The sequence below is a fragment of the Homo sapiens genome, chromosome 9, assembly GCF_000001405.40.
Source record: "Homo sapiens chromosome 9, GRCh38.p14 Primary Assembly".
NCBI lineage: Eukaryota > Metazoa > Chordata > Mammalia > Primates > Hominidae > Homo > Homo sapiens.
Genome location: NC_000009.12, coordinates 79,132,689 through 79,146,138, shown reverse-complemented (window position 1 = coordinate 79,146,138; position 13,450 = coordinate 79,132,689). Strand labels below are relative to the sequence as shown.

Genomic DNA, 13,450 nt, shown 5'->3' with positions numbered 1-13,450 from the left:
GGAACTCTACGTGAGAGTTTACAAATGGGCTAGATCATAACTTGAAGAGTATAAAAGTGAATGGCCATTCCATAAAGAACCACAAACTCTACTCTAGGGGTTTTATTTTTAACTACTATTGTAAATGTTTTTTGTTTTTGTTTTTGTTTTTCCTTTTCTTTTCTCTGTGCAGTGTATTAGGTCAGGTCCATGAATGGCTGGGACTTTTTCTAGGTTGAGGTGCTGATTAAATTGTCTGTGAAAGGTTCATAGTCAATAGTCATACTGAGGTAGGAATAACCTTGTCTTTGTCTGTCAGAGCAAAGTAATTCCAGTCATTGTACAGGGATGAGACACATATCCTGGGTAATAAGTCAGCCCTCTTTTTCTGTGCAAACTTCCTACAGCTACCCCTTGCTACACTGATTACATTTAAACGGTAACATCCTCTTAACTGATTACTGAAGCAACGGATGGATCACGTGACCTAGACAGATCTCAAAAATGGGAGACCACATGCAAAGGAAACTACGTTTTCACAACACATGGTTGGAGAGGTCAAAGAAAATGTGATGTATTACTTTCAGTTTTATCATCAGCGGGACCATCTGGGGCTAGTGGTGGGGCTCGAAGAAGGAAGAAGAAAATAAAGAAGAGAATCAGGCAAGTGGACATCTGTAGGAAGAGTGATATAGGTAGAGAGAACAACCAGATCAGAGGAAGGGGTGTACCTGACAAAGTTGAAAAACAAACTCCACTTGACTTTAAGATTTACTATAAATGGTAATCAAGACAATGTGACTGGTAAAAGAATGGAAAAATAGATCAATAAAACAGAACTGGGAGCCCATAAATAGATACACAAAAATTTAGTCATCTGATCTTTGGCAAAGAAGAAAAAGTAATACAATAGAGAAAAAATAGTTTTTTCAAGAAATAATCCTAGAACATTTGGACATCCACATGTCAAAAGTGCATCTGTACAGAGATTTTACCCCCACCTGTCACGAAAATTAGCTCAAAAATGGATCGTAGACCTAAATGTAAAATGAAAGCTATAAAACTCCTAGAAGATAGCATCAGAGAAAATCTAGATGATGTTGGGATTAGTGATGACATTTCAGATACATACAACACTAAAGGCACAATACATGAGACGTAACTGATAAGTTAGAATTTATTAAAATTTAAAACTTCGCTCTATGAAAAAAAATGTCAAGAGAATGAGAAGACAAGCCTTAGACTGGGAGGAAACACTTGCAAAAGCTTCATGCAAGTTTCTGTTGCCAAGGGTAGACACAGAGAGACCAGTTAGGAAGATATTGTGTAATTCAAGAAAGAAATGCTGAGGGCTTGCAGTAGTATGATAACAACAATGAAGAAGAGAGGTGGCTGGGCACGGTGGCTCACGCCTGTAATCCCAGCACTTTGGGAGACCGAGGCGGGTGAATCACAAGGTCAGGAGATTGAGACTATCCTGGCTAACACGGTGAAACCCCGTCTCTACTAAAAATACAAAAAAAATAGCCAGGCATGGTGGAAGGCACCTATAGTCCCAGCTACTGGGGAGGCTGAGGCAGGAGAATGGCATGAACCCGGGAGGCGGAGCTTGTAGGGAGCCAAGATCGCACCACTACACTCCAGCCTGGGTGACAGAGTGAGATTCCGTTTCAAAAAAAAAAAAAAAGAGGTGATTGGATTTTATATATAAGTGTGTAGACACAGCCAAAAGGTTTGAATGTGAGATGTGAAAGAAAAGAAAACATCAAGGAGGACTTCCCAATCTATTTTGTCTTTATCATATGCTAAACTTTTTTTAAAACATGGTGCTTTGAAAAGCATATGAGCTGTGGAATCAGGAATGTCTGAATGCATTCATGTTATCTCACTCACCAGTTATGTTACCTGTCTGAGCCCCAGTAACTTCAATAACCTCATCTGACATGATATAAGAACACCAATATCTCAAGGGTCATGAGTGTCAAACAAGAAAACTATATAATGCATCTAGCTTCATGAACACATTACCATAAAAAGTGAACAAGAGTTCAATTCTTTTGACTTTGCACTATTTTCTAAGCCTGATAACAATGGGCCCATTTAAGAGGTGTTCTGTAATTACATCAAGCTTCCATCTAGTTTTCGGATTTCCAATTTCATAAGATTTTCTAATTGACATTTTCAATTTCCTGTGTTCAGTAGAATAGAAAGAGGGAGACACCAAGAATTCACTGCTCGTAGGATGTGAGGTAGAAGTCACAGTCTGACTCCTACAGTTACATACTGTTAGAAATTTAAATTATCTAATTTCATTCTTTCTCTAACGTTAGAGAGTCTCATAGGGGATTAGGTTGTGGAGAATTTCCTCGCTTTCTTAAAAAAAGGGGCTTTGGGGAAAACTTTCCATTTTTCTAAATCTTTTCCAACCAGTAGTGTGAAAAAGACAATTTTGTAAATTGAGGTTCTTGGGCATTGTCATAATTTATAAAGATGATAGAAAGAGATGAGATAACAGAGGAAAAAGATATATGTTCCATTAATGTACTTCAAGGCTATGAGAACATACCTGAACAAATATGCTACACTGAGCAGAAGACACCATAGCACTTCTAAGAAAAGAGGATGCTTCCTCAACCATGAAGTTCCCATAGAGATGCCTACTTAACCCTGGATTGCCATAAAGATTCTGACACTTTCTTCAAGCAGCTCCTGTTTACCATTCACCTAGGTGGTCTTAATCTCTTCTGCACTTTCCCAGTTGTTTTGAATACTTCAGGCATGAGTCTTCTTACTAACCAGTTGCAAGTAAGAAGTAAAAACCATAAGAAATTCCTGTTTTTGGAGAGATTGTCTAGGTCAAAGTTCACTTTTTCAAGCATTCTACCACACTAGCCTGCCTCAGTTCTAACTTAAGTTCTTCTCCTGCAGATCCCCAAAGTAGAGAGACTGAATTACAGCAATGACCTCGACTTGCATTTACTAGGTATGAAATACAGAAGGTTCAGTTTCTTCTTTCCTGATTTTCTTCACAGTTTTCTTGTGACACCTCTTCCACCAACATTATACATAAGGACAAGAAATCCTGCCGTAGGGCCATATTTGAGGGTTGATTGGTTCTATAAGACTGCTTTCTGCAGCTTTCACAGCTTTGGGTTGATTGTGTCTGGTGTGTGCAGGAGATGTACTCTATGGGTGGGGAGGGCTCCATGCAGCCACCTACCTGTTCTGTAGGATGGAGATAGGTAGCCCTGGAGCTTGAAAATAACTGTAAGAATTTTACCTACAGGGAAGTCACAGGGCTGTTCAGAAATTGATGAAATTAAAGAAAGGCCTGAAAAGGCAAAGGAAGGAACATTTTTGGTCCCAGGGGAAAATAAGACCTCTTTAACATGTGCAATGGCATTCCTGGAATGGATTTTTAATCAACAAGAGTTCTCATCTAGTGCAAGATCCAGCCAATGAATAGACTAACACTACTGACACATTATGGCCTATTCGTCAGCTTAAGTTGTCTAAAATTTTCAGCTGCCAGCAAAGGATTAATATTGATTTTCAGGCTGTCTTTGTTAAATACCTGCTAGAGAGTACCACTCTCTTATTCTCCTTGCCAACTCTTCCCCCAGTTGTCACTAGTATTAAAATGAAACCTACCTATTATTAAATCAATCATGCCTGGCAAAACTATTCAAAAAGAAGGGGAGCATCCATCATCTTAAGTGTCAACATAAAGCCTGATTTTTTTTTCTTTTACTTGGTCAACCAGGAATTACTGGTGCACTGAATTAAAATTTCTTTACATAACTAATGTAAAACCTGAAAGTAAAATTTCTGTGGGAGGACAATGTGTACATTTCCCTCTGCTCTGTATTAGTGGATTCTACACCATCAGGTTCAACTAACCTCAGATGGAAAATATTTGAAAAAATAATAAACAATAACAATACAACAACAAAATATAAAATTTTAAAACCCAATAACAACTATTTACACAGCATTCACATTGTATTAAGTATTCTAAGTAATTTAGAGCTGATTTGGAGCACATACAGGAGGATGTGCATAGGTTATATGCAAATATTATGCCATTATATATAAGGAACTTGAGTATCCACAGATTCTGGTATGTGTGGGGTTCCTGGAACCAATACCCTGCACATAGCAGAGGCAAACTGTATCCTTTTTGCTTTTTCTTTCTTTTTCTTTCTTTTTTTTTCTTTTTAGATGGACTCTCACTTTGTCACCCAGGCTGGAGTGCAGGGGCACAATCTCGACTCACTGCAACCTCCACCTCCCGGCTTCAAGCGATTCTCATGCCTCAGACTCCCCAAGTGGCTGGGATTACAGGCGTGCATCACCATGCCGGGCTAATTTTTGTATTTTTTAGTAGAGATGGGGTTTCACCATGTTGGCCAGGCTGGTCTCAAACTCCTGACCTCAAGTGATCGGCCCGCCTCAGCCTCCCAAAGAGCTGAGATTACAAGCATGAGCCACCATACCCAGCAACTCTATCATTCTGATAGATGAATGAGCATGTTTTTATCTTGGGTTGCTCCCAGCTGAAGCCAGGAGGTTTGGCTGGCATGATATTTGACTAGAAGGCCCAGCTTTTTCACCTGAGCTCCACAAACAGAATGTGTGAGCCTGAGCATAATGCTTTTGGTAAACTTATGACCCTTTTCGGCTCACCTTCTATGTTTTTGCTATATCCTTTTCAATCCCAGAAACATGTCAGCTTTGATATTTCTCATCTCCGTATCTTTCCACTGGTTGTCCTTCTAGAACACTCCCAGTCTTGTGCCCCTGGTAAAATTCCTGCTCATTCTCCAAGATTATCCCTTAATTCCTCTGCCAAGCAGCCCCAGGCCAACCTGGGTAAACTAGTGACAACCTGAAGGTGGCCTCAGTGTCCCTTGTTCAAATCTCACCATATTGAATCACCCCCATAAAAGGCTGTGGACATGCCAAGGATGGAAGCTGTTTTCCTCATCATCTTTGAAAGCCCAGCAAGGGACTGTTGAAAAACTGAACAGAGAAGGTGCATGATAAATCTTTATTGAATGAATGAATGGAGTGGGTTTTGAAGTACATGATTCCTGTCTGGTTTTCTTGTGCAGAATATGTATTTTCTGAGTCTATTTAAAAGTCAGTAGGGCATAATGGTTAAGACCTCAGGCCATAAAACCAGACTTTCCTGTTTTGAGATCAAAATCTGTCACTTATTAGCTGTGTGATGTTGGGCAAGTACTAAACAGTACTTAAAATATTACTCCATTTTACCTGAACTTCCTCATTTGTAAACCGAGGGTAATAATAGCACCAGTAGGGTGGGTGATTGTGTGGAGTAAACAAAATAATCCATGGAAAGCACTTAGTGTAGTGTCTGGTATGCAGTGAACACCCAGTATTCATTTATATCTGAAAGCCTTAGATTCATTTTGCTACATGTTTTAGGAACTGCCTTCTTCATATTGCCATATTGCGATATGAAGAAATTATACCAGATACTCACGCAGCCAGTATTCCTAAAGGAAGTCATGCATTCCATTCATTACACATAATTTTTTTCCTTAAAGCAACAAAATATATTCTTTCAAGAACTTCCTTTTAACAAATATTTCTTGATTACTTATTATGTACCTACCTCACTCTGTGAATGCAAAGGTGAATGCAAAGGTGAATGACCCCACCCTGAGGGAACACAGTTTCCAAAGAGATTGTTACAATATATTAAGTGTTTATACAATATATTAAGTGTTTAATAACAATATATTAAGTGTTACAATATATTAAGTGTTTTAGGAAGCTAGAAAGTTGGGATATAGGTTACCTAACACCTGCTTTCTCTTATATGGGTGCACAGGGAATGTTTATAACTAAGGATTTGCATCATGTGAGCTTTATACTGAAATACCAGTAAACAAATATATAGGGGCATCAATTTAAGACATCCTAATGACTACTGAAATGAACTATAACGAAGAAAATGTGCCCTCCTAATAGTTTAACCATCACATTCTATACAACATAAGAATGTTTATGAAAGAATGGTCTGAAAACAAATATTCCCTGTTACTACCTGAGTACCAAAGATATGGAATGCCTTACATAGGATAAATTTAAAGATCCATGGATGTCCTAAGCAAGTTTTACTTTATGTGATAAATTAATGATGCAACTCAATATGAATGGAGTTCAATATGCATTTTTAAAAGGGTTATTATTTCAAATAACAATTAAAACACAACTTGTTTTTCTTCTGACTTTCCCCAGTTTGGGCACTATTCTCCGGCAGTGTCCTAATAGCTACTTGAGGGATTATGGGAACTAGGCAGGCCTGTTTACCCCTTCCTTCCATGAGAGTAATTGTAAATGACGTAGAGAAAACAAAGACTCTAGGAACATAGTAGCACTTTTCTATCCTACAGATAGTCACTGTACAGAAATAGAGTGTATCTACAAAGAAGCTAAGCAAAATTCTGTCTCAAAACACATTTACCATTAATTTTCATGGTCAAATTAGAGGTATGTTCGTCTAGGACAAAAATCAGGTGTACCTATTAAAAACAATCATACAAAATCTTGCAGACATTTTATTACCAGTCATAGATAATTATTGTGTTCATGTGAGATTCACATTTTAAATATATCAGTATGTTTTAGCTAACAATGAGGACAACATCCAAAATTGGTTTTTAGATGTAAATTCAAAGGAGCGAGGCAGATATTAGTTGAGTGTAATAAACTGAAGTCTGAAAAGTGACCAGCAGTGTTAGCTTGACTCAACTCAGCCTCTGGCTGGAGATGCCTTCTGGGTTTTACATGCTTCACCAAATCTTAGGGTTCCCTGTGAATCTTCTTTGTTGGCAACCTCTTTAGCTGTCCTTTCTCTACCAGAGTATGCATTGGAATGTATTGGTTTTAAGACCTACCTGAAGTGTTTTACTATAATAGAAAAGTGTAATAAGCAGACACTTAAAAATAGGAAAAATGGAAGCTCCCCAAAAGTCTACTCCAGTAAGTTATGCCCAGGTATGTTGCGCCTTTTGCCCCTAAAGGTAAATTTCTAATTTATCCTCATAACATAGTTTCTCTTCTTGTTACTTTTGCCCCCAAATAGGATGAGCTGTTGTGAGAGTAAATATGAAAGCTGGAATTCATAATTCATTCAACCTGTGTTTCATCCACTTACCCCAAACCAAAACATAACAATCATTGAGCATCCACCATTCACATGTAACTGTGGTGGAGAGAGAGATGAAAAAACACAATGCCTAACCTCAAGGAGTTTACACACTACTCAGAGAGATAAATACCATAGACAAATAATTATACTATACTGTAAGGCTACTTGGGCTAAACCTATACCAAAATCGTAAGTATAATAATTAATAACTTATTTAATTTTCAAAATGAACACTTATTGAAACTGTTATCTTCTCCATTTAACAGACAAGGACATTGAGGCTCAGTAAGGTGAGATGACTTGCTCCAGATCACACAGGGTTGAAGCTGAAATTTTAATCTAGAGTCCAGTTCCAGAATCTGTGCTTATAAACTGTGCTGTGCTGTATTTGCTTTAAGAATATAAGGGTCATTTCCTGCTTGAATAATCAAGGAAGGCATGATGGAAAAGTTAGGTATGAATTGCTGGTTAAGATATGGGCTGCCTCAACAATTTCTCAATAGGTGGAATAGTATGAACAAAGGCTTAGGCGCCAATATGCCACCCAGTGCTCCAGAGTGATTTGTCTGGTTTGGCTGGTATGTAAAACACATGTGGGAAGGTAGCAGGAATATAATATCCAAAAGGTAGATTGGACTCAGATTTTAATAGGATTTGAAAAACTAAAAATTCTGGGGTTGTTTTTCTTAGCATTGGGAAGCTATTATATTATTTTTTCCTCACTGCTATCCCAAAGGCATTCTTTCTGAGTTAAAAATTTATATGCAAAAAACAGGATAAAATGGGTGAATTAAATACCATAAGAAAGAGTGTGCAATCACACCGCTGATACAGCCCACCACTAGCTAGCATAATTAATTTGCAACTCTCGTTCTTAAAATGACTTGTTTAGCAGATATGCCACTTCCATATTTACCCTTTATTATCTTTCCAACTGCTATAGTTACCAATTATCCAAAGTGAGTGGGGAAGTTTCATTTCAAATTTAGTAAGTAAGAGAGTAAGTAAATAAATTAAGGTAGCTTGAGGAAAGTGTGAACAACCTATCGAGGTGTGTGTGTGGGGAGGGGGTGTTGGGGTGTGTGTGTGTTTGATGGAGTGGACAGAATGTAAACTGATAGGTGCTTTCTGTGAAGCATAGTAGTGTGTTAGTTTGGCTCTGCCAAGAAGCAGATATGAAGACAGGGTTAAGTGGGCAAGAGATTTGTTGAGGGAGAGAATAACATTAGATGGTGAGAGGGAGGAAAAGGAGGTAGAGGGAGCCATCAGTGAGACCATGGTGCAGGTCTGACAGCTATGAAAGGAGAGAGGCAAGAAAGGAATACAGAGTAGGAAGAGTCATGGGCTGCAATGGAGTTAGTTCCAAGAGTAATTCAGTCAGGTCAATGAGAAGTCCCTGAGTCCAAGTTGCTATGAGCGCTGCATCTTCCTGGAATGGACCTGCCTTGGTACTCACTCTGTGTCCAGGCATTGGCTAGGAGTAGCCTGTGAGAAGCATGGCTTTGGTGCAAATATGATAGTGGATCCAGAAGGGCTCTCAGTCAATCACGCTCTGTGATTTGAGTGATATATTTTCATGGCTACCAAAAGTAGCAATTTTCAAACATCAGCATTTTGTGTACATATTTGGCTCTTAAACTTATGTTGAATCTAACTAGAAATAGATTTATGGTATCTATTAATCACATCAGTTACATAAGAAATTTGTTGTGTTTCTATATTATCATACAGAATTAAATATTTTTATAACATAAAAATAAGTTAAATATGCAACGTCATTTTTTCCTATTTGCTTTTAGGGGCATCATAAAACCCAAAGACAATTCTGATCATATTTTTACTTCAACACTTCTACAGGAAAGAAAGCCTTCCCATCACTAATAGTGAGTTCTCTGGCAGCAAGCCTCAGTCATTGCAGCAGGAATACTGCTTAAATATTATACTGGTATGTGTGGGGTAATTTGAAGTCTACCATCCATCACCATCACCACCAAACCTAATGTATGAGTTGCCTATTCCTTCCCGGGATAGCACACTGCACTACTGAGGATCACTGTTCTATGGAAGTAGTTTTCAAACTTGAGCATGCATAAAAAGAAGAGCGAAGAGGCTTGTTAAATACAGCTCTCTTTCAGCAGGTCTGGGGTACTTACTACTAATGAGCAGTTTTTAGGAAGCATCCTAGATGATTCCGTGTATCCAGGTGGGCCACAGAAACATTTGCAAAAACATTACATCGGAGCCATTGTTGACTATCCCTAATCTGTAAGAAGCCAATAGTCATCGAGACCCAATGGAGCAATGCAGCAGAATGGGGGAAGCCCAGGGGGCAGAGTGAGGGCATCACCAGGTGAGGAAAAGCAAGATGGTAAGGCAGAAGGGAATGGGGAAACCCAAACAATGAAGAAATAGATATCATCTATATATCTATATCTTTCAATTTATCTATATATCCGATTACCAACTTCATCAGGAAAACCTATTTCAGTTTGGTGAATGGAAAGGGAACCAGCCAAAAAATAGTTATTATTTTCATACATCTTAGTATTTTATTTTCCTAAGGACTATCCTCATGAAATATATACATACATTATACATTTACACATATGCATATACATATTTGAGAATACACACACTTTGGCTTCTTAGGCCATCTTAGCTTTATTTTAAATATAAAGAAACTGGTGCTGATTCTGCATATCATATATATTTGACTATACTTCTATAAAGCAGAAGTCAAGAGCCATGATTATTGTGCAACAGTATCTGCACAATTAGAATATTAGCAATAGCACAGTTTTACTTTTGTTTTACAGTTTTCGAACTATAAATCAAGTATGAATGGCTGATGGAAAGCCGAGGCTAGCAAATAGATGATAAACCATGTTACCATGGGAGGTACAGATTCATTTTTAATTTTAGTTTCTATGTTATCCCCAAGCAGCTTTTTTGTATATTGATACGGAAAATAATGCCATCTATATGCTGCACAACAGAAGTGTTGATTTGTTTCTGTACCCCTTGGCTTGCATCCCTGTTGTCATCACCCAGCTGATATCATTGTGACATTTTGACATTGCCTTGTGACACAGTGACCTGGTGCTTCCAGGAGCCTAGAAGGACAAGTTGACTAAGACACATGGTGCATTAGGAAGCAATGAAGCAATTCATTACGGCTACAGAGAGAGTCTGCTCTGGAGACAAGAATTCTTATCTAAAGCACAAAATACTCTCGATTCTATTTGCTGTTCTGCTACTGATTTACTATGAGATCTGTAACAAATAATCTCAATTCATTTGTAACTTAGATTTCCGTCTGTAAAATGGAAATGACCCAACATATGTGATTTTTTTAAAATCCTAGGGCAGTGATTGCATTTGCAACCCATTCTTGCCAAAGAGAAATTCGGAAGCACACTTCAAGGAACTAAGTTCAGTGATAATCACACTTGATTGATTTTCAGTACTGTCACAGTTTGAGAACTATTTATTGCCCTGATTTGCTCTTTTCTCTGCCCTGTATTAAAGATCTTGCATGACAGTTGATCCATGAAATCTTCTTTGGTCTTTGCTTAACATTAAAATTTTCCCTTTACTTCTTAATGATAGCAAGCTCTATTTCACTCTACATGGTATTACACATCCCACTCAGCTCAAAATCCCACTTAATAGGCATGCTCACAATATTTAACCTCAATTGTTGCAAAATAATTACTGGTTGGTTCTGACAAGCAGGATTTATCTTGGAGATCATGTCACAAATTCCAATGGAAAGGTTGCCTTCCAAAGTCATGGCTATTCTCAGGTGACTACTGGTCCAGCCCATTACCTATTTTGCACACTTGGTCTTTCCACATGAAAAATACAACCTCAGACCTTCTCAGGCCATCTTGATCAGAAGTGTTTTGGAGCCATCAGTCCCTGAAGAAGCAAATGCTATCAAGTATGATAAAGCCCGGTCGCTAATAGAGTAGCCATCTATTCTGCAGCAAGTGGCAGAGCAGAATCTTAACCCTCTCATTCTCCCCATGTTATGTAAGAGGCAAGGTAATGAGCTGTGGGGGGTGAGCATAGCAGGAATTCTGTAATCAAGCCACAAGGGGGCAGGGAAACACGCCCACTTGCCACCTCAGCCCGGAGAACTTGGTGTGAGCTGTATTTTGATAGCCTTGTTTGTTTCCACGGCTATCTGAAGAGCATACTAATAAGTGTTGTCACAGAAGAAGGGGAAGATGGGATTAAATACCAGGGAAAGTCATTAAAATGAAAGAATGGGATAAGCCTCACAACTATTTCCAAAGCTTAGCTATTTCCTGTCCAAAGGCAAGTTCGATTTATTTTGTAAAAGATGAGTGAAATGAAGGAAAAAGCATGCTTATTCCCTAGGTGCCCTGTATTAGCCAAATCCTGCTAACAGTGAAGAGTTTGATCAGATGAATTACTAGGTGCCTCATAACCCTTTTCTCTTAAATACACAAAACTCATCTAGTTATTTTTAGAGGAGTCCTGTGTATATTTCTTAGCACACAAACTCACTGCTTCTAACTACAGCAAAACCAACAGGAAAAAATGCAACTGGATTCTTACAGGAAGACCAGGCAGAGCCTAGCTACCATGGTTGATGGAGTGGCACTTACTGGGGAAAAGCTTGACTCTTGACTTCTTATGACCAAACTAGCTAGGTATATGTCATAAGTATCTCACCTTGATTGTGGGAATTTTTTGTTATTTATGAAAAATGCAATAGGACAAGTTCAGTGCCATTAGTAAAGATTATGAATTCCAGGATAGAACCATATCCATTGTTTTTTTGGTATGTGTTAATTTTTTTATATTTAATTATAAAATAATTTAAAATAGAATAGAGAAATAATGAACACTTATGAATTCTTCACCCAAAATTAACAGACAGATACTAACAATTTGCTAGATGGATTGCTCCACAGCTGCATTCCCCTAAAAAAAAAAAAAAGAAACAATATTTATGGCTACAGCTAAAGTCCCCTACCTGTCTCTTTTTCTCCTCTCTCCTTTGCTTTCCAAAGGAAACCAGTCCCTAACTTGGTGAATATTATTCCTATTCAAGGAAATGTCTACAGCAAAAACATGGGCATTCTGGATAGCAGAATGGATAAATAGACTGATTTACCCATGAAAAGGAATACAATTTAGTAGTCAAATATAGATAGACTTAAAAAAAAAAAAACACTAAATGGAAAAAGTCACAAAAGGATGCAAAAAGTATATCACTTATGTAAATTTTAAAAACACATGACATTAATGTAAATCATTTATGAATACCTACATATGTAGCAACAAATGTGGATGTGTTTATTTTTCAGTACCATGTTAAATTTTCCCTTATTTAATGTGTGTGCTCTGCATAGCTGTTATGTACTCTGATAGGTATTGGGAGGATCAAACTTGTGTGACTGGGGATCCCTACCCCACCCTGTAATGTGGATGTGGACAGGAAGATTACTGCCGTAACCTATGGAGAGACTACTGTCCATATTAGAAAGTGGAAAGTGGCCGGGCGCGGTGGCTCACGCCTGTAATCCCAGCACTTTGGGAGGCTGAGGCGGGCGGATCACGAGGTCAGGAGATCGAGACCATCCTGGCTAACACGGTGAAGCGCCGTCTCTACTAAAAAATACAAAAAAAAAAAAAAAAATTAGCCAGCCTTGGTGGCAAGCACCTGTAGTCCCAGCTACTCGGGAGGCTGAGGCAGGAGAATGGCGTGAACCCAGGAGGCGGAGCTTGTAGTGAGCCGAGATCGCGCCACTGCACTCCAGCCTGGGCGACAGAGCAATACTCCGTCTCAAAAAAAAAAAAAAAAAAGTGGAAAGTAACATGAAAGATAAAAATTAGTCATTGTATCAGTAAGGTGGCATCTCACAGAGATTTAAACAAGTCTACCAAATAATGTAGTATTCAATAACTGTTGCTGATTATTGTTATGCCATTTAACAGATGAGAAAACTGAGGCTTGGCTAAATGAAGTAATATATCTCAAATCAGTGTGAGCAAGGGGCAGAGCCAGGATTGAAACCTGCATTTTTCTGACTCCAGAGTGGCCCTCTTGACTACATCTTATTACACTAATTGGACCTCCTTACTGTGAAAAAGGAGGGCTTTTCTGTTGTCAAAAAAAAAAAAAAAAAATTTAAAATAAACCTCTCCGGACTAAAGATAACACTGTAGGGACAGAAATAAGATCAATGGTTGCCCAAGATTGGGCTTGGGGATGGTGAAGTTTGACTACAAAGGATTGTCAGAGATTTTGGG

General features: G+C 38.4%; 1 long non-coding RNA gene across 1 annotated transcript; it reads left to right on the top strand.

Annotated features, from left to right (window-relative positions):
- The first annotated feature begins 472 nt into the window (after positions 1-472).
- Positions 473-10,717, top strand: LOC101927450 (uncharacterized). Its single transcript, NR_109771.1, has 5 exons — positions 473-642; positions 2,908-2,962; positions 7,097-7,351; positions 7,429-7,616; positions 8,962-10,717. It is a non-coding gene; the product is annotated as an uncharacterized LOC101927450 (long non-coding RNA).
- Positions 10,718-13,450: the final 2,733 nt, after the last annotated feature.